Below are 23645 nucleotides of genomic sequence, written 5' to 3' on the forward strand. Positions count from 1 at the left end.
CACCACCTCCCTGGGAGCTCTCCCTGTGGAGGCAGCGGCATGATATCGTACCGGCCACACCCACTGGGCTGTGGCTTCCCTAATGAAGTCCACTAGACACCTTTTGCAACGACTCTATTTCCCAGTTGCTCTCTGGGTATGGAAGCCAGAATAGTCTACAAGTAGATGAGCCTAGAGTCCTAATACTGAATATTCAACCCAAGTATCATCATTGCTGCCCATGGGAACAGGTTGATAACTGGGCTTCTTGGGGTCATTCCCATGTATCCCTCACCATTTTCTTTTGCTATTTTTTCATGTGTTCCAAATTAGCTTAGCTCACATGGAGTCCTTTGGGGAAAAAGTTCGAGGACAGACAAATAGACAACTAAATGCGTAGATTCCGTTAGGAAGAACAGGAATTAAAAATTCACCTCAAAGTTCATGATCATGGAAATTACAAATTGTTTTCCTATTGCACATTTGTTGTGCTGGAGTGGTGAGACTATGGTTGGGTTCTCTTGTGCTGGGGTGATGAGACTATGGCTGAACTCTGTTGTCTCTGCCTCCCCCTTACTTTTCTATATTTTCCAAATTGTCTTTAAAAAACAGATATTACTTTAGGATTAATTTTTCAAAGGCTTAAAATAAAATAAAATAAAATTCTTATCTTCAGTTTTACCACTTGGAGAGAGAAGCATTGAAGATGTCTGGGAACATTCCAAACCCACTGATGCTGGGATGGAAGAGCAATAAGCTCAACATGCCTATCTTCAATTCTGCTTAATCTAATGAGCTCCAGTGAGCAGAAAAAACATTCACATATTTCTTCCCCATTGAGTGGTGTTTCACAGTAGGTCGTATCTGATCGAAACACCTCGGAGGCCTCGGAAGAGCCATGGGTGTTGTTTTCCCTTCCTTTGGGTTGCTGCTTTTAGCAAAGACATGACTCTCATTCCCAGAGCTATTCAGAGCAGGTGACCCAGACAAACCTTCTTGGAAAGAGGAGACACTAGTTCATTCCCAGGCCTGGTTCAGCCACAGACTCTATGCACTCAGGGCCTAGATGAACAAGGACATGGGGATATGGGTTCCAGAGCTGCCCAGATCAGAAACCACCCCTGAAGATGCCCCTGAGCCACCACCTTCCCTCGCCCAGGCAGCAAGGCCTGCCTGCTGGGATGCATGGGTCAAAGACACCATGTGAACGGCGAGATGAGAGACTTCACACTGGCCGGCTCTGGTCACCAAGGGGTTGCAGAGGAGACAGAAGGACAGGCTGAGACCAAGGAGTACAGGTGGTCCTATTGTGACTGTAGAGGCTATAGTGGTGGAAGATCAGAGCCAGTGAGGTGGACACTGACCCAGAATCCAGGTCTGTACATCTGGTTTGGGAGGGAAAACCTGCCCTCTAATGACAGGGTGAGGCCTGTGTGAGTCTGAGGGCCATGCCTCCCTGCCTGCCCCAGACACTCTCTGCTCCAGGGTAAATTTCCACGGGAGACATGCAGGAAGAGGCCAGGGTAGGGATGCCCACTGAGCGACACGGGCAGCACTGGGGATGCCTGAGTTCAGACAGTGCCAGAGGCCAGTAGGCCATGGGCAGAGGGTAGCCACAGGTGGGCTGCCGGCCAGCCAGGCGCTACACCTGGGTTGGGAGTTGCCTGTCCTGCCTGGGGAAAAGAGCCCCGGAGGAGGTGCACGTCTGTGGAGAGCAGTGAAGGATATAGGCATGGGAGGGAGCAGCCCCCTTCACGTGCCCATTAAGGGACCTCAGCCTAGACTTGAGGCTGCCCCGACTGCCTGTAGTTAAGATTCAGGTCCCATGGATTTGTGCCTGGTGTTCATCAGGGGCTAGAAGGATGAAGGAGATTGTCCAGCCTGGGAAGATTATTGTTATAAGTTAATGGGCCTAAGGCACTGGTCGGAGGCTGAGGGGTGGCCTGAATATTTTTTACATTATTGCCATGTGTAGGGGTGAGAGGGGAGCTAGGAATTTCTGGTCCTCATCCTCACTCTTTGGATCTCCCAGATGGAAGAAACATGTTAGTGACCATGCCACACCCTAACTCCAAGAGCTCTGGTCTGATGGGAACACAGAACACAGAGATACAAGTCACACTAGGTAAGGGCCAAGGTAGAGGTAACTCTGGGAGGTGAGAACACACAAGAGGCACCTGATCCTAGCTGGGGTGCTCTGGACTGTGTCATAGATGGGGCACTCTTAAGCTGGGTTTTGAAGGATAAGTAGGTGTTCTCTAGGAGAAAACTGAGAGCAAGAGAAGTATATCAAGGATTTTGCATCCTGGAGAAAGTGAGTGAACAATCTAATGCCTCCAGAAATTGTATATGTGACTTTGGGCTTCTGGTTCTTTAATTGCAAAATGGGAATAACCTATTTCTAAAGCAGTTGTTTCCATCCTGGGAGTGCATTACAATCATCCAGGAGCTTTAGAAATACCTATTTTCAGAACATTCCTCTAGAGATTTTGAGTTAGTTGATGCAGGATAAATCCTGGGTGAGGGTGCCTTTAAGAACTTCTCTCCAGGGGATTTAATGAGTACTCAAGGTTGAGAATCCCACTCCAAAGCAAGTGATTCCCACCTGATGATTCCCAGGTCTTTTAAAGCATTCAGCCACCAGGTATCAAGATGGCTGTAAAGCCACAGTATTAAGGTATTGGAACAGAGACAGACAAGCTGACCAATGGAACAGACTAGAGAATCCAACAGAGCCACACAGGAAGTCACCTGATATGTGACAAGGGCATCGCTACAGTTCAAAGGAAAGGATGATCCTTTCAATGAATGATGAAAACAACAACAACAACAACAAAACACCAGTGGATGTCCATACAGGAAAAATATAAATAGTGACTATTTTACTCAACATACAAAAATTAATTTGAGAAGTCACAGACCTAAATGTGAAAGGTATTAGATTGGACTATATGAAACTATTGGTCTTTAATATTTTTTAACCTCAAAACCCACAAGAATCAAAATGATAAAGCTTCTAGAAGAAAATATATTAATAGTAGACAATCTTTGTGACCATGAGATAGGCAGAAAGTATTAACCATTTTTACAAAATGATAAATGGAACTTCATTAACATTAAGAGCCTTGTTCCTCTAAAATTACCTAGGACAGTACAAAGGCAAGTCACAAGCTGGGAGTGGTACGTGTAATGTCTGTGTCTGATAAAAGGCTCATGCCTGTTTTTAAGCACTTCTACAAATCGACTGAAAAAAGACAACAACTTAAAAACTAAGCAAAGACATGAACAAATACTTCACAAAAGAAGATATCCAAATGGCCAATAAGCAGCTGAAAAGGTGCTCGACATCATTAATCATCAGAAACATGCAAAACAAAACTACAAGAAGAACTCACTACACACCCACTAGAATAGCTCAGATTAAAAGGACCAGCCACACGAGGACGTGGAGCAAGTGGAACTCTCTTATATTGCGGGTGGGTGTGCAAACCGACACCAACGTGTTGATTGGAAAATTGCTTGGCAGGATCTATAAAAGGTAAACATATGCTTACCCTTTGACCCATTCATTGTACCTCAGGGTATATGCCCAACAGGAAATGAGTGCTTGTGGGTTTACCAAGACATGTACTGCAATGTCCATAGCAGCTTTATGTGATAGACCTAAAGTGGAAACAACCCAGATGTCCATTTATAGTAGAGAAGGGAGAGAGAGAAAGAGATTCCTGGCCACCATCCCAGATCATACTTTGCATTTCCCTGGGTGTCCCCACTCTTCTTTGGTTTCCACAGGATCCCCAGTTGATGCTTGTGACAGACAGCTATGGGAGCCAGTGACCAAGAGTGTGAAACACTGCAAAGCCCAAATCCCACTAGAACAAATTATACTGTACCTCCAAGCAATAAGGCAAAGACTGAGTAAATGCAATGTATTTTCAGTCATTGAATTCAACTCCAATTGGGGAGCTTAATCAATAAATGATTTAAAATTAATAATAATTGATTTTGAAAGAAAATATTTTTAAGCAATCTCCGGTAAGATCCTAGGTTACCCTAAAAAGCTTCTAGTACAAAATGTTGAAAATCTTTCCACACAAAAATCTAAACAAGTAAGAAATAAAAGGAGAGAAATAGAAAATTTAGAAAATTTTTTTTTAATGGGAAGCATTCTGTAAATAGTAAAAAATTCAAGATGGCATTTCAGAACATTCGAGAAAAGGTGAACAATTCCATAAATGCTATTAGGAAACAAACAAATCATTTCAAAAATAAAATTACAAGTGTTGGAATAAAACCTTTTCATAATGTTAGAGTGAAAAAGAACTTCCTAAGTGTGATACACAAGCCAGAAACCATGTAGGAAAAGATGGCATATATGGATATACCATCTTTTTGCAACGTGTTAAAACTCTACAGAATATGTAAAATTTGGAATCACAAATTGGAACATGTGTACAAGATAGAGAGCTAATGTTCTTAACAATTAAGAGTTCTTATATATATCAATAAGTAACCACATGTGTTTCTCAATCAGCAAAAAGTAAAAAATTTGGGTAAATATGCATTGAAACATTGTGGGTGGGGGCCAGCTTTGATTTTCCTCATCTTATTTTCTTCTTTGTCTTTGTCTCTGCAGAACAGGGTACTTCCATGCACATATTAGTAGATACGGTTATTCATAGACATTATGTATTTTTCATACCAACTTTGCAAGTTTGGGTGCTGCTAGACCCATTTTTACACATGAGAAATCTGAGTTTCCTATAGCTGCACAGTTAGCAGATTCAGGACTCAAAAATCAGGTCTTCTGGTTCTGAATCCCTTTTTCCATGGATAGCTTTCTGGTAGACCATAAATGAAAGCATGGCCACAGCATCTTGGCAGCCAGCACAGACCCATGGAACTCTTGGCCAGACTGGTGATCCAGCCCTAGGGCTAGGCATGAGAAGGACGCAGAATGTCTGTCTATTTGAGTGATCACCTTGGCCCTTGGTTGTCTTCTCTAAGACAGAGAAACAGACAACACACACACACACACACACACACACACACACACACACACACACACTGCCCCTTGGACTAACCTCACCTCCCCAGTTTCTCCTTTCCCCTCAGGTCAGTCTTCCTTGGCCTTCCCCAGTTGTTGCTGATCCCAGCCTCCTAGTCCTTTTTCGGTCCTGGTCCTGCAGCCTTCAGGTTCCAGGTATGTTCCTCTAGGCTCCCAGCCCCACAAGCCTTATCTACAAACTGGGTGGACTTCTGCCCAACGACCTACTAAGCCTGCCTCTGCCACCTCCACCCCTTTCCCAGGATCAGCCTGGCCAACTGGCCCTGCCAAGTGTCTCACTCAGAGAGCAATGCGTCTGGGAGTTCCCTTCCTCACCCCTTGGGAAAGATCAGGCCTACTTTTTCTCTCCCATCCCAAATAGCAAGGGGCACTGTGCTAGGTACACCCAAGGTGCTCTGTAGATTCACTGATGAGGGCCTGGCTTGCTAGGACCTGAGTGTTTGGCACCCAGTAAACCTCATAAAAGTGAGTGCACCAGAAACCAGAGTGACACACGCCATCCCCTCCCAGCTCCACAGCCCTGATCCCTGTGATCATCTTTGAGCAGAATCGTCCACCCCAGATTCCTTCCCTGGGACAGGACAGGAATGGGTGTGGGCACCCTGGCACTGCTATAGAATACCAGCCGCCTGGCACAGATGTTCACATGGCCCTCTCTCACCTCCCAGGTGCAGCCTGGGAGCAGGCAGCCCATCCATCCAACCCCACCCCACTCCCGAGCTCTGGGACGTCTCAGGGCCTGGGCCTGTGGTCTGGGTACCAGACATAGGTGACTCATAATGCACCTGGTGGCTGGAGAAGCCATCCCTTCCTCTGGTTCTCAGTGTACTCACCTGTACAATGGGCAATAGGAGACTGCATTGGATCTGTGGTTGCCTGAGAGAGCCAAACTATTGGAAGTCATGCTGTCAATCAATTTCACTTAAAATAATATAGACCCAAGTCCGTGCTAAATGTCATTCAAGCCAGATCTAGATGCTGGTAGAAGAGCAGAACAACAGAGGATATAAAAAAAGAGCATTTGCTCAACATTACTAACCATCAGGGAAATGTAAATGAAAACCACAATGAGATACCACCTTACTCTTACAAGATGGCCATAATTAAAAAGTAAAAAATAAAAATAAAAAAAATAGATGTTGGCATGAATGTGGTGAAAGGGAACACTTTTACACTGCTGGTGGGAATGTAAATTACTACAACCCCTATGGAAAACAGTATGGAGATTCCTTAAGGAACTAAAAGGAGAGCTACCATTTCATCCAGCAATCCCACTACTGGGTATCTACCCAGAGGAAAAGAAATCATTATATGAAAAAGACACATGCACACACATGTTGCGTAATTTCAAAGATATGGAACCAACCTAAGTGCCCATCAAACAATAAATCCATAAAGAAAATGTGGTATATACACACCATGGAATACCACTCAGCCATAAAAAGGAATGAAATAATGTCCTTTACAGCAATTTGGATGGAGGTGGAGGCCATTATTCTAACTAAAGTAACTCGGGAATGGAAAACCAAATATTGCATGTTCTTGCCCATAAGTGGGAGCTAAGCTGTGAGCACAGGTATAAGAATGATATAATGGACTTTGGGGACTCAGGGAAGAAGGTTGGGAGGGGGTGGTGAGGTATAAAAAACTACATATTGGGTACAGTGTACACTGTTCAGGTGATGGGTGCACTAAAACTCAGAAATCACCGCTAAATAACTTAATCCAAGTAACCAAAAACCACCTGTACCCCAAAAACTCTTGAAATTTAAAAAGAGCATTTCAGAAAAATATTTATGGAAGGAAAATCGCAAACTGCAAAAAAGCCCATAATTTAATGTTTTTCTGCATTTTCAGGTAGCCCACCAATTTGATTTCAGCAGCATGTGTACTTCTGTGCACACCTCATGTACACACACACACACACACATATATATATACACACACACATTTAATTCTTACAAGTCTGTGAGGGACCATTGTCACACTATACAGATGAGAAAGCTGAGGTTTGGGATAGTGAGTCATCTGTCAAATGTCACACGGTTATTTAATGGATGTGCAGCTTCATAAGAATTTCTTAATATAAAAGCAGAAAAAAAATATGTGGATACAACTAGTGCAGAAACTTTGGGAGAAATCAAGGAAATTCTGGAACTGTCTGCATGCCTCACATAAGGCTGCGGCTGTTAAATGCTGGCTCCTGGGATGGCTCACTCTAGTATTTGTCGGGTTGGTTCGTGCAGCCCAGAACAGGAACCGACACCACCTTCAGTTTTCCATCTCTGAGCCATTCGACTTCTCCTTTGGAAGGTGTCCCACCCACCTCTCTCACCTGCCTTTCCCTCATCCTCCTTTCCTGCTTCCTTCCAAAGAGGCAGAACTTGAGTTGAAAAGCAGATTGAATGTCTATAATGTACCAGGCAGCAAGCCAGGTGTGGGGGAGAGAGAAATAACACAAGTCCTCATAAGCTCACAGACCAGGGAAGGGACAGACACTGGGGGGTCACGCCTGTACTCCTAGCACTTTGGGAGGCCAAGGCAGGTGGATTGCTTGAGGTCAGGAGTTTGAGACCAGCCTGGCCAATATGGTAAAACCCCATCTCTATTAAAAATACAAAAATTAGCTGGGAGTGGTGTCTCGCACCAGTGGTCCCAGCTACTCGGGAGGCTGAGGCATGAGAATTGCTTGAGCCCAGGAGGCAGAGGTTGCAGTGAGCTGAGATTGCACCACTGCACTTCAGCCTGGGTGACAGTGATACTCCATCTCAAAAACAAAACAAAACAAAACAAGAGTTCTGTGGAGGGGTGAGTTCAACACCACTTGCACCCACGAGAGGCAGATATTGAATCAAATCAAGGCCTCCAAACAAAAAAAGCCGCAGCTCCATCCCCCACCCACTCACGTGTCCCCTCTCAGGGGGCATTGTGACATTGAGGCGGAGCACAGGTCCTACAGCCACAGCAAGCTGGGCCACCTCACCCAGGTCACCTCACTTCTCTGTGCCTCAGTATTTCCATCTGCCCAATGGGACTACTGAAGTACCTGCTTTGTTCATTTCATCAGATTGTTAGCAGTGCTATCAAATGCAAAGGCCCATGTGGAGAGGATCAATTAAAACTAATTAGTAGTAATCATAGCAATAGTTATAATAGTTGTTAATAAAATAGTAATTAATTACTATTAATGGGCATTACTAATGATAAACATGATGACAGGGAGCTGATTCTGTTCATCCAAGTCACACTCTGCTCACCATTCTCATCCTCCAGCATCAAGAGTGAGGGTGTTGTGTGCCTAACACTGCTGGAGCCCAGGAGGACAATTCTTGCCTCTCAAATGAAACATGTGTTATCAAGAATGGATCAGACAGCAAAAATCAAATGTTAAGGATGGCTGAGATCCTTGAAATTCAGGAGGAATTTGGATGGGTAGTCAGTAGTTACCCAAATAGGGTTATCTGTTCACATCTAACTACTGACTATTTTGTGTGCTATTATATAGTTAAGGATGGGAAAAGCTCATTTCTGAGCTTTCAGAAATTTGGGAAAACAGAGTGGTTGTCTACTTAAGACCAAGGAAAGGGCCAAGTCACAGAGAAGACGTAGTGAAGAAATACGCAAGCCCACACATCTATTCTCCAAGAATGTTCCACACATTCCCCAGTGGGTTCTATTACCAGCTCAAGCCACTAGCATAAGAATGAGGAGTGATACCGAGGGTAGCTCTGGAAGCAGCCATCCCACGGCTCACCATGCAGGTGGAAGAAGGGAAGTTTCCCTTCAGTCATCCAGGTTTTCAGTTTTCCTTCCAGGATAAGCGAAAGCAGGCTGATAGAAACCAAGTGTGGGCTGGTAAGCAGGTCACCCTTATCTGCAAGGGCATACTCTGAGTTGCCACGGCTTGTTTGCTGATACCAGACAGTCCTCTTACAGAGAACTGCCTTTATAATCCAAGACAAAATGAAGGACAATTACTTTCAGAGAGAGAATACAAAGATGCAAATGGCTGATATCAGATATCTCTAAGCAGTACAAACCAAGAAACAGTAGAGACTCAAGAATCTGAAGCAGAGCGGGAGGACCTGAGAGCGGGAAAAGACTATAGAGAATTCTATGTAGAGACAGAAAATCTGGATTCAGGCTCCATGGCTGCTGTTTCCCAGCCGTGCAACCCTCCTCAAGTTACTTCATCTTTCAGGATCTTGATTTCCTCACCCATAAAACTGAGGAAATGTTTGAGAAATCCATTGGGAGGATAAATTAAAGTAGTGACTGTAAAAGGTGTGGTGTAAACCATAACCGCCCATGCACAGGCTGCTCTGTGACTTCGGAATTTTGCAGGGGTCCCCAAGGGCTGGACCAATGGCTTTCATTTTCCTCCACTCTGGGATGAATTTTTAAAAAATTACTGGGTGCTCAGCTTGAAATCTGCGGTGTTGGGATGAAAACCTAAACACCATACAACTGCTATTGTCTTCCAGTGGTGTTTCCAAATGCCAGAATAACCTGACCAGTGGGACTTCAGCCAATCAGCCCCTCTGCATCACTTCCCAAGACCAAAAATGCTTTCCCTCCTTGGATGAACAGCCTGGAGGTTGCTCCAGTGGCTCCCTGGGGACCTCACAGTCCGAGAAGGGGTATGGGTTTGAGAAGGGCAGCATGGTGCGGGCCTAGACTCCCAAGGCCACCCCACATCTCAGCACATCTATGTCTTAACCTACTCACCTGTGAAATTAGGGCAATCATACCTCCCCACTGTCGAGAGGCTGAGATAATTCGTGCAAAGCCCTGGGACAGTGCCTGGACTGTGCCGCTTAGGTACTCCATGGCGGCTGACTTGTTGTTTTATTATTATCAATCACTATTATTCTTATCCTCATATAACTTTAATTATTATTTTGTGATGGCACTGATGACAGAGACGGTTGTTTTTGGCAGCAACCCAAAGGGCCACCAGTGTGTCCACACCCACCCCCTCCCAGCCACAGCTATCTCCCACCTGGCACATGCTGACAGCCTTGGGCATGCCAGGCCAGATGGGACTCGTGTGCTGCAGGCACGTGACAGAGCTGGACGCCACAGCTACTGGTGGGCACTCTCTGCCAGCCCCTGGTGGCTGTGACTCACCTAGTTATGGCTGGTGGAGGTGGGAGAACAACCTTAGAACTCAATGCAAGAAGTGGGCAAACTGAGCAGGGCTGGGGTCGGGTGGGGACCTGGGTGGGCCCTTCGAGGTGGCTCTAAAGGGCTTGCTTTGGGCATTGGGGGTGGGGTGCAATTGGGTCCATGTAGGTGTCCGGCAGTTGGGGCCGGATGCTCTCTGAGCCAGTGGGTCTATTCCAGGGACTTGGTCTGGGCCATGTCCCAGATCTAAGGACTCAGAGGAAGTGCAGGGCCAGGGAATTCTGAGGTGGTGGCAGTTGGTGGCCAGAGGTAGGCAGGTGGTGGGGCTTTGAGTCTGTAGTTATTTGACTCAGGGCTTCTGCAGCCACTGGTCGGAGTGCAGTTCAGCAGGGGAGAGTGTGGAGGTGGGCAAGGATTAGGCTGGATGTCAAGACAGGATTGCAGCCCAGTGGGAGAACAGGCAATGAATCAGGGCCCCGAGGCAGAGGCCAACTTCCACGGACTGAGGAAACCCACGGTGGCCGGAGAAATGGTGCTGTCTGGCCAGAAAAGAAGGCCAAAGCCACCAGCCACACACCTGCTGCTGGGCCTGACTCAGTGGCTGAGTTGGACACCTGGGTCAGGGTGTGCTAGGCCTGGAGTGATGGTCCCCAAGGGCCAGCACGGCCACGGTTACCAATGTTGGCCTGAAGGTGACATGCCTGGGGGATCCTGAAACTATGCGACGTGTTTCTGTGGGAGAGGCTGATGATTGGGAGTGACAAGCCATAGACTGAAAGAGAAGCAGAATCACAAGGGGTTGCTGCTTGGTGAGAATTTAAGAGTCAGAGTGTCAGGAAGACCTAGGGCTGTCTGGGTGGTCCGGGAAGGCTTCCTGGAGAAGGTGGCCATAAAACGGGAGGAACCCGGAGTTTCTACATCACCCTCCCCTGCAAGAGGCAATCAAATTCACCTGTGTCATCCCCTCCCCCAACCCCCATATCTAGAGGCAGTGAAGGAGCAGGGAGCCACCCACTCAGCATCTCCGTGGACGGGGAGGCCTGCCCTACAGAGCCTCGCTCATGTTCCCATATCCCAGGGTCTGTGCCTGCACAGACAGCAAATGCTGCTCCACTTGGGCCCTGCTCCAGGAGCTGGGGACGGCAGGGACAGCCAGGTTCTGTGCTCAAGGAGCTGATACTCAAACGGCCAAAATCCAGCAGTGCAGATGCAGGCAAGCAGTGCAGATGCGGGCAAACAGTGCAGATGCGGGCAAACAGTGCAGATGCGGGCAAGCAGTGCAGATGTGGGTCATTTCAGGGCAGGGAAATGCTGTGGATTTTGAGTTGAGCAGACCGGGTTTGAACACCAGCTCTGCTCCCAGTTACCTCATTCCTAGAAAGCTATTGCACCTCCCGAAGACTCTTTTTACTCGTCTGCTGAATTTGGATAAAACCATCCACTTCCTGGGATATTTGGAAAGAAAAGAGAGGAACCCAGCCCCACAGAGTTTTGCAAGTGGGGAATGTACCAGCCCGCAGCATCCAAGGTGGCGCCGAGAGAGTGGGGTTCAGGGAGGCCTCGGATGGGAGCCTTGGCATGATGCCGCCAGAACTTTCCATCTGCCCTTGCCTTTGCTCCAATGTGTGTGCTGGCTCTGTTCTTGCTCTCTCTGCAAGCTGGCTTCCTCCACATGAGCTGGGCTTCCACCAGGGCAGCAACACTGCAAAGAGTGATATGAGATAGAGGTTACTGCAGGGATTAGGTCTCCCAGTGGTGGGAGCTGGGGAGAAGTCTGTGGAAGGCTGTCATCCTGGGTCTGGTGGTCAGCCCAGAACCTCTGCAGGTCAGCCAGGTGGGGAGGGAGAAGAAAACCTGGGTATGAGTTGGGGCAGAATGAGGCCTGGTCAAAGCTTAAAGGACAGACCAGAACCCACATCTGTCACTCCAGCCTGGCTGACACAGTGACTCGAGGAAGGGGCCGGTGTTCCTCACCTGACCTGAGACCTGGAGAACTGAAGGAGGAGGCCTGGTGAGGGCTGGAAGAGCCCTTGGCACAGATGCTGTTCACAAACACCAGGTGCACCAGCAGGTGAAGGGGGGCAGCGCCTAGCACCCCACACCAACCTCAGAGTGTTCCTGCTTAACTTCTGCCTTCCAAACCAGAAATACCTTTCTCTCGTAGCCAACTCTTACCTGGAACCACAGAGGGTGAGAATTCGTCACTACACTGACACACCTGGCTGGAACTATCACCCCCAACATCTTCCAAAGCTTATACCTTACAGTTTCTGTCCCCAAGACCTATTGCCTTTGCACTCTCTGACCCCAGGTCCTAATTCCAAGGCTCAGACCATCCAAACCTGGTTCAGGTGCCCCTGTTTGGGTCAAACACTTCTGAACACAGGGGTCAGGGTAGAACAGGTGATGAAATGACAGCTCCCACAGGCAGGCACCTAGGGAGGGGCAGTTTCTATAGGAAGGGCAGGAAGGAAAAACTGCATGTGTCACCGCAGCTATTGCACACACACACACATTAAAATAGTAAAATAGGGATACCAAGGGGGAGGAAAAAGCCTCGGGGGAAAAGCAGTGAACTTGCTGACCATAAATGTGAACGAAACTGCCCTTTGGGGGCACAGCACATGGCTCTCTGCGTCCCAGCAGCCAAGGACCACACGTAGTTCCACAGCTCTCAGCATAAATGTGTGTGAGTGTCACTTCCTCACTCTATCACAGGCATCAGACAGTGGGACCATGTGTAGCACAGCCTTGCACCCAGGCAGTGCCTGTCGCAGCAGGGAGCACAGTGGAGGGTTTCAAATGTGTGTTTTGGGGGCTTTTTGCCAGCAGCGTCTTCTCGCTACTCACCTCTGTCTCCCAAAGCAAGCATGGCGGCTTTCCTGGGTTCTTCCCTACAAGAGGTACCTCCTAGATTTCTGGTTAGCTCCCTCTATAACTTCACTCACCTTATTCATTTACAAACGCGGGTTTGGCACCGACTGTGCACCAGCATGGTGTCTTCCCTGTAGGGCCGATGAGTCAGAGGGAGTGATACTGATCACCATCGTCCCAGTGTGTCTACGGATCTGGACGCTTGACACCTGGGGATGCCTGCATCCCATATTTTCCCATATGTTGGGCTGATATTTTTAAAAAACCTCTCCCCACATCCCCAGTACTGGAAGCTTTTGCTCTTTTTTTCTCCTGGGGATGAGTGATTTCCCAACTTAAGAAGAAGGCCCAGCGCCTGGGACTGTGGGTTCTGTTCTGGAGTAGAGCCTGCTCGGTTTCAGATGAAGAAACTGGTTTCTTGTGCTGCTGTTTTGCTTCTTGCCATGTTCAGTCCCCTCAGATGCCAGCCAGACATCCGGCAGGGGGCTGGTGAGGACTCTCTGCCAGGCACCTGGGAGTCTCCCTAATTATCCAGTGATCCTCCCAGCTTGTGACACCTCCAGTCTCCCAGAGATAGTTCAGGCTGAAAGGCTGCATTGGAATGTGTGGGGAAGAAATGGCCCTTTGAATGTGTTCAAAGCCTCCGTGGCCCCTGGCTGGGGAAAGCCAAGGGCAGTTGTGCTCAGCAAACTTCCTGGGGAGCCTGTGGTTTTCTCACGGGGAAATGGGAAAATACTGGCAAGAGAGAACTTTGTCATTGTTCCCTGCATTTAAGCAGGAGGGAAAAGAAAAGAACATGAAAGCATGTCCCTGGCAAGCACATCAAATTAAATGTCAAAAATATCCCAATGCTCATAATTCACCAGCGGCCGATGTCTGAAGTTACAGCTTCAGGCATTTATCACAGACAGCACTTTGAAAGGGAAAAGTCACAAGTTTTGATGTCAGAGCAGCTTGGCTTTGAATCCTGGCTATATTCCTGATTAGCTGGATGTGTCTGGATAGTATGTTTAACCTCTTCACACTTCAGTTTTTTCTGTGAAATGGACTTCGCACACCCCACAGGAGACCACCATGAAGAATGTGAACATCGAGTTAGGGCTTAGAAGCCTTATTTGCTAATAATACCAAAATGGACATTCTAGGTTTATAGTGAGGGTTAATGAGATTATTTAAACAGATTTTTGTGGTTTTGTTCTTAACTATATCCCTTGAACCTTGAACCTTGCACATAAAAGGCACTCAATAAATACCTGTTGAATAAATTAACAAATAAACATATGAATGAAGAGGTGTTATTTCCCTCTCTAAACTCCTTTGCCTGTGACAGAAAATTCAAGTTTGTTAAATAGCAACAGTGAAAAAATGTTGGGATTGTAATGGAACGTCTACCACTCACCTGTTCAGCCTCTCTTACCTTTGCATTAGGGAAGGGCTCATTCTTAGCCTTTTCCACCCCAAACAAGCCCTTCTTGTCTTTACACACTGTGGACCTTGGGTTTGTAATACCTGCTTCTTGTCCATCTGGGAAATTCTGACCCAGCTTCAAAGTTTAGTTTACAAGTCACTTTCTCCATGAGGAGAGGGTGATGGTGCCAGCAGTGGTGGTAATATTAGTTCTGGTGGTGAAGGTGGTGGTGGTGGTGAGAGTGGTGGTGGTTGTAATGGTGATATTAGTTCTGGTGGTGATGGTGGTGGTGGTAGTGGTGAGAGTGGTGATAGTTGCAATGATGATAATAGTTCTGGTGGTGATGGTGGTGCTGGTGTTGGTGGTGGTAATGAAGGTGGTGGTGATGGTGCTGCTCGTGGTGGTGATGGTGGAAATAATAGTTGTGATGGTGATGGTGGTGGTGAGAGTGGTGGTGGAGGTGGTGATGATGGTGATGATGGCACTGTGGTGGTGATGAAGGTGGTGGTGGTGATGGAAGTAGTAGTTGTGGTGATGGTGATGTTGGTGGAGGTGGTGGTGGTGGTGATGGTGTTGGCGGGGGTGGTGGTGCTGGTAATAATGGAGGTGGTGGTGGTTATGGTGATGATGGAGCTGGAGGTGGTGATGCAGGTGATGATAGTTGAGGCTGGTGGTGATAGTTGCCATAGTGATGGTGGTGTTGATGGAGGTGGTGGTGATGGTAGTGGTGGTGGTAACGGTGGTGATAATAATTGGGGAGGTGATGGTGGTGGTAGTAGTGGTGACGGTGGTGATTATAGTTATGGTGGTTACAGTGGGTGATGGAGAGGATGGTGGTGGTGGTGATGGAGGTAGTGGTGGTGACAGTGGTGATAATATTTGTGGTGGTGATGGAGGTGGTGGTGATGGTGGTGGTGCTGGTGATGGTGTTGATGGAGCTGGAGGTGGGGATGATGGAGATGATGGTGGTGATGGAGATGGTGGTGGTGATGGTGATGATAATAGTTGTGATGGTGGTGGTGATGGTAGTGATGGAGGTGGTGGTGGTGATGGTGATGATAATAGTTGTGGTGATGGAGGTGGTGATGGAGGTGGTGGTGATGGTGGTGATGGAGATGGTGGTGGTGATGGTGATGATAATAGTTGTGGTGATGGAGGTGGTGATGGTGGTGACGGAGGTGGTGGTGATGGTGGTGGTGGTGATGGTATTGATAATAACTGGGGCGGTGGTAGTCATGGTGGTGATTATAGTTATGGTGATGACAGTGGTGGCGATGGAGAGGCTGGTGATGGTGGTGCTGGTGATGGTGATGACAGAGCTGGTGGTGGTGACAGTGGTGATAATAGTTGTGGTGGTGATGGAGGTAGTGGTTATGGAGGTGGTGGTGATGGTGGTGGTGGTGATGGTGTTAATAATAACTGGGGCAGTGGTAGTGATGGTGGTAATTATAGTTATGGTGATGACAGTGGTGGTGATGGAGAGGCTGGTGATGGTGGTGCTGGTGATGGTGATGATGGAGGCAGTGGTGGTGACAGTGGTGATAATAGTTGTGGTGGTGATGGAGTTGATGGTGGTGGTGGTTGTGATGATGGTGCAGTCACTGAACAAATCTTTACCCTAATAATATTAAATAATTATTCATAATTAATAATTAAGTAATTATTAAATTATTTCTTTTTTGAACCATAGTTTTCATGTGGCCCCAAAGAGAAAGTTCTTTATTGTATTCTCTTTCATCTTCTGAAAATTCAAACACATTTTAACCTTCAGGACTTCCAGTTTTGAACTCTTCTTGGTCGTCTATTCTATTCCTGAGTGAGAAAAAAGGCTTTGAAGGTCGCCTTTGATAGAGAAAGATACAGCAGGAGGAGATAACAGGTCATTCCGACAGTGAGACAGGGAATAGAAAATTGCTCTAGATGGCTGCTCTAGATGGAATCTCCTCTCTTGGCCTGCCACTGCCATTCATTAATTCATTCCTCCATGTACAGGTTCTTACTGACTGCCCTCTCTGCACCTGGCACTGTGGCAGGCGCTGAGGACACAAGGCTAACCCAAGTTCCCCCAAGCTGCCACACGTGCAGGCCTCTCCTGGGGGAAGTGCAATGGCCTCAACCTTGTACCTGGAATCCAGTGGGAGAAATGTCTGTAATTCATCTATGGCTTCACTGTGCCGGTTGGCTGATCTATATAATTAGGTCCCTGCTATGGTTTAAATGTTCATTCCCTCTGAAACTCATGTTAAAACAATCCCTAATGTAACAGTATTAAGAGTTGGGCCTTTAAGAGGTGATTGGGTTATGAGGGCTCTGCCCTCATGAGTGGATTAGTCCATTCATGGATTAATGAATTCATGAGTTATTACAGGAGTGGGCTTTTTTATAGAAGCAGTTTGGTTTTCAGTGCAACCCTCTCGCCCTGTGATGTCTTCTGCCAAGTTGTGACGCAGCATGAGGCTGATCGGATGCGGCTACCTGATCTTGGACTTCCCAGCCTCAGGCTGTAAGAAAGAAACCTTTTTTATTTTTAAATTACATCTCAGGTATCCTGAATAGCAGCAGAAAATGGACTAAGTCCCCAAACCCAGAAATTTAATAAAAGAAAAAAATCAAACCATGCACATAATTCCTCAATGGAACTCTTAATCTAGTAAAAGATTAAGTGACAGTCCACAGGGCCCACAGTCTCCAGTATCTTTGATGTGTCAGGCTTAGGCATGGGAGGAGGTGAGACAGTAGGGAGAAGTAGGCAGGTGTAGCTGGGGGGAGTACCAGCAGGCAGAAGCCCCTCTGGGACCTGAAATGCCACCAGGGGGAGATCCAACCCCACTGCTCCCGCCCAGGAAGACCCACTGGGGACAGGTGGCATTGAGCCTGGCCACATCATCTCCAGGTTGGTGGTGCCACCTCCGATGGCCTTCCCCGTTGTTCCATCTCTAATCAGAAGGATAAAATGTGCCAGCAGCTCTATCTGCCACCCTGGAGGGTGACAGCAATGACCATCAGGGGTTTTCTTAGAAGATGAAAGCTCTGGTTTGTCTCTGGGCAATTGTGGTAGAAGACAGATTTTTCTGTCACCCTGTGGGTGATTTGTGTTCCTGTTTCCTTAATGTCCTTCCCAGTGGTTTCTAAAGAGATGCCCTATGCCAACATTCTCTTCAACTCTGCTTCTTTTCTTTAAATGGGACTTTGATTCTAGAACAGTTGCATAACGTGATGTTCTGCAGAAGCCCAGCCTCCCACCTGCATGCCCTCCCTTGGGCTGCCCCGTTCCAGTTTCCTAAGCAGACCCTGTATTACTCTGCTTCCCTGCTGTGTCTTAAAAGAGAATGCAATGGCCTTGCTGGGAAAGAGCTTGTTTTCTCACAGAGCCTGTCCTCGGATAGGCTGTCTGTGGCCCATCATCCAGGACCCATTCTCTGTGGATCTGTGGGCCTCCACCTACCCTTCCAGGAATGTCCACACTGTAGCTAAGCTTTGCACATCCCTTCTCATAAATACGAAGAGGCGGCTCTCCACCCCAGGGCTGCCTCCATTCCAGCTTCCTATATCTACACAAAACAAACTCTTCAACTCAAACTCCACCACCCCACAAAAGCGTCCTTGGATTTTTTTCAGAGTTAGAAGAGGCCACACCCTTCTCTCTTCCCCACAGTGCCTGACCTGTGCCCTTCCTGAGATAAGGACCACAGGCTGTTTGTGGACTCAATATTTGTTCTCTGTCCTGGTTTCATCCCATGACCCTATGAATCTACTGTCCAGCTTGGGTTTGGAAGGCGTGGAGATGGACTGCCTTCAGCCATGGCGAGTGTGGTCAGGGCTGCCCGCTCCTTCAGGGTCTGCCCGCTCCTTCTTGGGGCAGGCATCACCCAGGGGCTGAGCAAGATGAGATTCAAAGTCCAGCCATTTGAGCCCAACAGGGAACTCAACTGAGCAGCACTCTCTCTCATGCTGAGGAGTGAGTAGGCCAAAGCTTTGCAGGCTGGCCTTGCAGCTCAACTTCTCCATCTGCTCCACCCTTAGGTGGGGATCCCTGACAAGAATCTTGTACCCCAAACGCCATCCCAGCTTCTGCTTCCAGAGAACCCAGCTGGCTATTTGGGCTTTCTCTATTTATTCTTCCATTCAACGAATACCAATTAAGCACTGACTGTGTGCTGCATTGCACTGGGCAGTGGAGACCCAGCAGCAAACAATGTGGGATGGACAGACTAGAATGGTGAGACAGGCTAGAAGAAGTAATACTCACAGACTAGAAGTGAGTAATGAATGATGATGGCAAATGTTACGGGAACAGACAGGGTGATGGGACAGAGAGTAACTTGGAGGCAACTTCCCGTGTTGCAGAAAAGCTTCTCTGAGGAGGAGATGTTTGTTCTGAGTCCTGAAGGTTGAGGAGCCAGACATGGGAAGAACTCTTCTCCTGGCCCTGTATGCCCAACTGCCACCTGGACACCTCCCCAAATGCCCTCAGCCCCGAGTAGCCCCAGGTAGGCTCCCCTGTCCCCAGTCCTTACTACCACTCCTCTGCCTGTGTTTATGATCTTAGTGGATGCCACCCAGATCCTTGGTCATCACCCTAACCCCTCCCTCTCCCTCAGCACTAGGTCCTGATGCCACCTGTCCTTGAGGTGGCCGCACCTCCCAAGCTGATTGCGAGGGCTTGGTTTGGGTAGGCCCTCAGCACTGTCACCAGCAGTTGCAATACTTGCCTAACAGGTGGCCCTTCTTCAGTAGGTCCACTGTCCTGTACCATACTCCACCCTCACCTACTCACAGAACTAAGCACTCCGAGCTCTGGGATCGTGTGTCACCTGCAGCATCAGTGTGCTGCGAGTAGCACAGGCTGGTAGGCTAACACGACGGATACTTGTCTCTCAGTTCTGGTGGCTGGAAGTCAGAGAGCAAGGTGTGGGCAGTACCACGCTCCTTCTGAGACTCTGGGTAGAACCCTTCCTTGCCTCTTTCCAGCCTATGGTGGTGGCAACAATGCTTGGTGCTCCTCAAACAGCAGCTGCATCCGTCCAATCTCTGCCTCTGTCGTCACGTGGCCGTATTCATGTCATCTCCCTCTGTGCACCTCTGTCTGTGTGTTCAAATTTCCCCTCTTTGGAAAGACAGTAGTCTTAATGACTTCATTTTAACTTTACCTCTGTAAAGAATCTGTTTCCAAATATGATCACATTCTGAGGTGCTTGGGATTAGGAACTCAAGCCACTTTTATCTGGAGTAGACATAACTCAGTTCCTAACACCTGTTATGCCTTCATCCTATCCTCACTCACATGTTAGCATAATATTTTCTACTAAGGCCACCTCCCCTTTCTTACCCCCATCCCAAAACCCAGTTCTGTTCTTTTCAGTGTTTGGTTTTGCAGCACAACCATTTTTTCAAAAATAATTTTACATGGAGCCCCAATAATACAAGCACAAACAAACTAGAGGCGCTCTCTGATTGCAGGGCAGGCTGTGAAGGGTTGGAGGGAACACCCCACTCATCCTGCCATGGCACCTGACTGGCTGGCCTCCGAGGAAGCTGTGGGTCACAGTGTAGAAGCCCTGGCTGGAGTGTGAGTCCCCTGGAACTGCTCCTGGACCTGGAACCTTGGGATTCCAGACCACCCCCTCACTTTCTCGGGCCTCTGCCTCAATGCTAGCTTCAGAGATGTCTCCCTTGATGACCTATTGTATGTAACAAACAGTACATAATCCCCTGCCTCTACCCCCTGTTCCTGCCTTATTTTTCCCTCTAGCACTTATCACTGTATTTGTTTATTTGCTTATTGTCTGTCTTCTCCGTGTACTAGAATGTAACCTCAGCAGGGAAAAATGCTTCCTTGCTGTTCTTCCAGGGCTTAGAACAGTGCTTGGCTTGAGGTGGATGATCAAGAAATATTTGTTGGGAGGATGGTTACCCAGACTTTTTCTTCAACAGTTTTATTGAGGAATAATTCACATTCTAAACCACGATAGGGCACGATTCTGTGTGTCTGTAGATACACAATTTAGCATATTCATAAAGGTTTGTGAAACACAACAAATCATTGTCCTGGTCTCTTTCTGTAGATGACACCAGGCAAAAGAATATTGTTGTTGCCAGCAGAACAGTTTATTACACATACTCATTCATGGAAAAGAGAAAATCAGAGGTTTAAATGAGGAGACACACATGGACATGGAGTTTCTGTAGATATTATTTTTCTGCTTTTATTTTATGAGAAAATATAGGTATTACACTAAGAAGCTTAGGAATGTATATATACTGCCCCTTATGAGTAGATATTTAAAGTTGTTGTGTCATAAAATACTGCAAGTTCATTAAAGTTTAAAAATTAAACAGTGATGGTTGATACCTGTTGTTTTTGTTGGCTGATGACCTCCTTAACTGAAAACTTTCAATTTTCCATCTATTGGATCTTTACTATGGCAGCTGCTATCGTAGTACAATGTGTCCCCAACCTCTGCACATGATTGGTCTAGGTGATTGACCTGAGATGGGTCAATTAGCCTCCTTCTTGAGGAATTTGGATTCTAAGCTAAGGGATGCTTAGTGTGACTGCTCTCTGAAATGAAAGAGATAAAAATTTGGAGCCCTTGGTGGCTTCGTCCTGCCAAGCGGACTAAGGAGGGGATAAAAATCAGTTGGCAGTAATAGAGAAAAACAAAACAAAGAAAAAAGTATAAAAGGTTGTGAAAAGGAGAAGAGGAAGGAAGGGGCTGGATTGCATCACTACCCATTTGTTCTAGGAGACAGTCCTTGGGCCACAGTTGGCTTCTTATCATCCAAAGAAACTTACTTAAGGAAAGCATCAAACAAATGAAATATACGTGATTAAATTTGACAATAGCGAAGAGGATCATTTGCATCATGAAGTTTCCTGGAAGCTTTTTTCTCCCCTCTAAATTATTCCCTGTTTCCTGTGATCTCTCCAAGTCTCTATCTCAGGTTGCAAAGGGAAGGGCCTTTGGGAAAGGTCTTCTTTACCCAGACACTCCCACTCCAAGCCACTATGGCCCACAAGGCAAGACTTAGCTTAGCCAAAGCCACTCTGTTTCTGCTGCATCTCTCCATCCTGAGTTTCTACCTCCAGCTGAAACATAAATCCTCCAGGGAAATATTGTTTCAGGCTGCCTGGTGGTAGCAGAGCCCCAGGGTCTCTGAGCCCTGACGTGGACATGACCAAACTTAGGCCATGACACTCTCCCTCCCTTCACCTTACTAGAATCTCTCTTTTCAGAATAGTCTCTGCTGCCTTGAGGTGGGTCCTCTCTTTTCCTTATGGGAGCTCCCCTGGGAAGTATGGGGACTTTGTGAAAACTTAGAAAAGAACATCATACTGAACTGACAAAAGCTGGAAGCATTCCCCTTGAAAACCTGCACAAGACAAGGATGTCCTCTTTCACCACTCCTATTCAATAGAGTATTGGAAGTCCTTGCCAGAGCAATCAGGCAAGAGAAAGAAATAGGAATAGACATTCAAATAGGAAGACAGGACGTCACACTATCCCTGTTTTGATGATTCTATATCTAAAAACCTCATAGTCTCTGCCCAAAAGCTCCTTGATCTAAATAAATTACTTAAGCAAAGTTTCAGGATACAAAGTCAACATACAAAAATCAGTAGCATTCCTATAAACCAACAACATCCAAGCTGAGAGCCAAATCAGTAATTCAGTCCTATTCACAATTGCCACAAAAAGAGTAAAATACCTAGGAATATTGCTAACTAGGCAGGTAAGAGATCTCTACAACAAGAATTACAAAAACTGCTCAAAGCAATCAGAGATGTCTCAAACAAATGAGAAAACATTTCATGCTCATGGATAGGAAGAATTGATATCATTAAAATGGTCATACTGCCCAAAGCAATTTACAGATTCAATGTTCTTCCTATCAAGTTACAAATGAAATTCTTCACAGAATTAGAAAAAAAAATTAAAATTCATATGGAACCAAAAGGGGCTCAAAGAGCCAAAGCAATTCTAAGCAAAAAGAACAAAGCTGGAGGTATCACGTTATCTGACTTTAAACTATGCTACAGTGCTACAGTAACCAAAACAGCATGGTATTTGACATGGTTTGGCTGTTTCCTCACCCAAATCTCACCTTGAATTATAGCTCTGATAATTCCCACATGTTGTGGGATGGACCTGGTGGGAGATAATTGAATCACGGGGGTGGTTCCCCCCTTATTGTTCTCCTGGTAGTCAATAAGTCTCATGAGATCTGATGGTTTTATAAGTGCTTTCCTCTTTCACTTGGCTCTCACTCTGTCATTCTCCCTCTGGCCATGTAAGACATATCTTTTGCCTTCCACCATGATTGTGAGGCCTCCCCAGGCACGTGGAACTGTGAGTCCATAAAACCTCTTTTCCTTTATAACTTACCAAGTCTCAGGTGTGTTTTTATCAGCAGCATGAAAATGGACTAATACAGTAGTGGCACCAAAACAGCATGATGCTGGTACAAAAACAGACACATAGACCAACGGAACAAAGTATAGAGACCAGAAATAATGCCACACACCTACAACTATCTGATCTTTGACAAAGCTGAAAAAACAAGCAACAGGGGAAGGACTTGCCATTCAATAAATGGTGCTGGGATAATTGACTAGCTATAAGCAGAAGATTGAAACTGGACCCCTACCTTACACCACATATAAAAATCAACGTAAGATGGATTAAAGACTTAAATGTAAAATGTAAAACTATGAAAAGACTGGAAGACAATCTAGGAAATACAATTCTGGACATAGGACTTGGCAAAGATTTCATAAGAAAGACTCCAAAAGCAATTGCAACAAAAACAAACCTGGACAAATAGGATCAAATTAAACTAAAGAGCTTCTACACAGCAAAATAGATTAACAACAAAGTAAACAGACAACCTACAGGATGGGAAAAACTATTTGCAAACTATGCATCCTACAATGGTCTAATACCCAGCATCTATAAGGAACTTAAACAAATTTACAAGCAAAAAACAAACAACCCCATTAAAAAGTGGGCAAACGATGTGAACAGACACTTTTCAAAAGAAGACATACACATACATGTGGCCAAAAAGCATATGAAAAAATACTGAATATCGCTGATCATTAGAAAAATGCAACTCAAAATCATAATGAGATACCATATCACGTAAGTCAGAATGGCCATTATTGAAAAGTCAAAAAATAATAGATGC

The 23645-nt window shown here is 46.4% G+C and overlaps 1 protein-coding gene across 2 annotated transcripts in view; it reads right to left on the reverse strand.

Annotated features, from left to right (window-relative positions):
• The window catches only part of SERPINA12 (serpin family A member 12), a 30566-nt gene extending 17000 nt beyond the window's left edge, over positions 1–13566 (reverse strand). Inside the window, exons 1-2 of one of the 2 annotated variants that reach the window (NM_173850.4) lie at positions 13123–13566; positions 11542–11876 (exon numbers count right to left, since the gene is read on the reverse strand). The gene's annotated coding sequence lies outside the window, so the exon portion shown is untranslated. Of the gene's footprint in view, positions 1–5063; positions 5192–11541; positions 11877–13122 lie in introns of those variants that run through there. The other variant, NM_001382267.1, reaches the window with a different exon arrangement.
• Positions 13567–23645: the final 10079 nt, after the last annotated feature.

The sequence above is a fragment of the Homo sapiens genome, chromosome 14, assembly GCF_000001405.40.
Source record: "Homo sapiens chromosome 14, GRCh38.p14 Primary Assembly".
Taxonomy (NCBI): domain Eukaryota; kingdom Metazoa; phylum Chordata; class Mammalia; order Primates; family Hominidae; genus Homo; species Homo sapiens.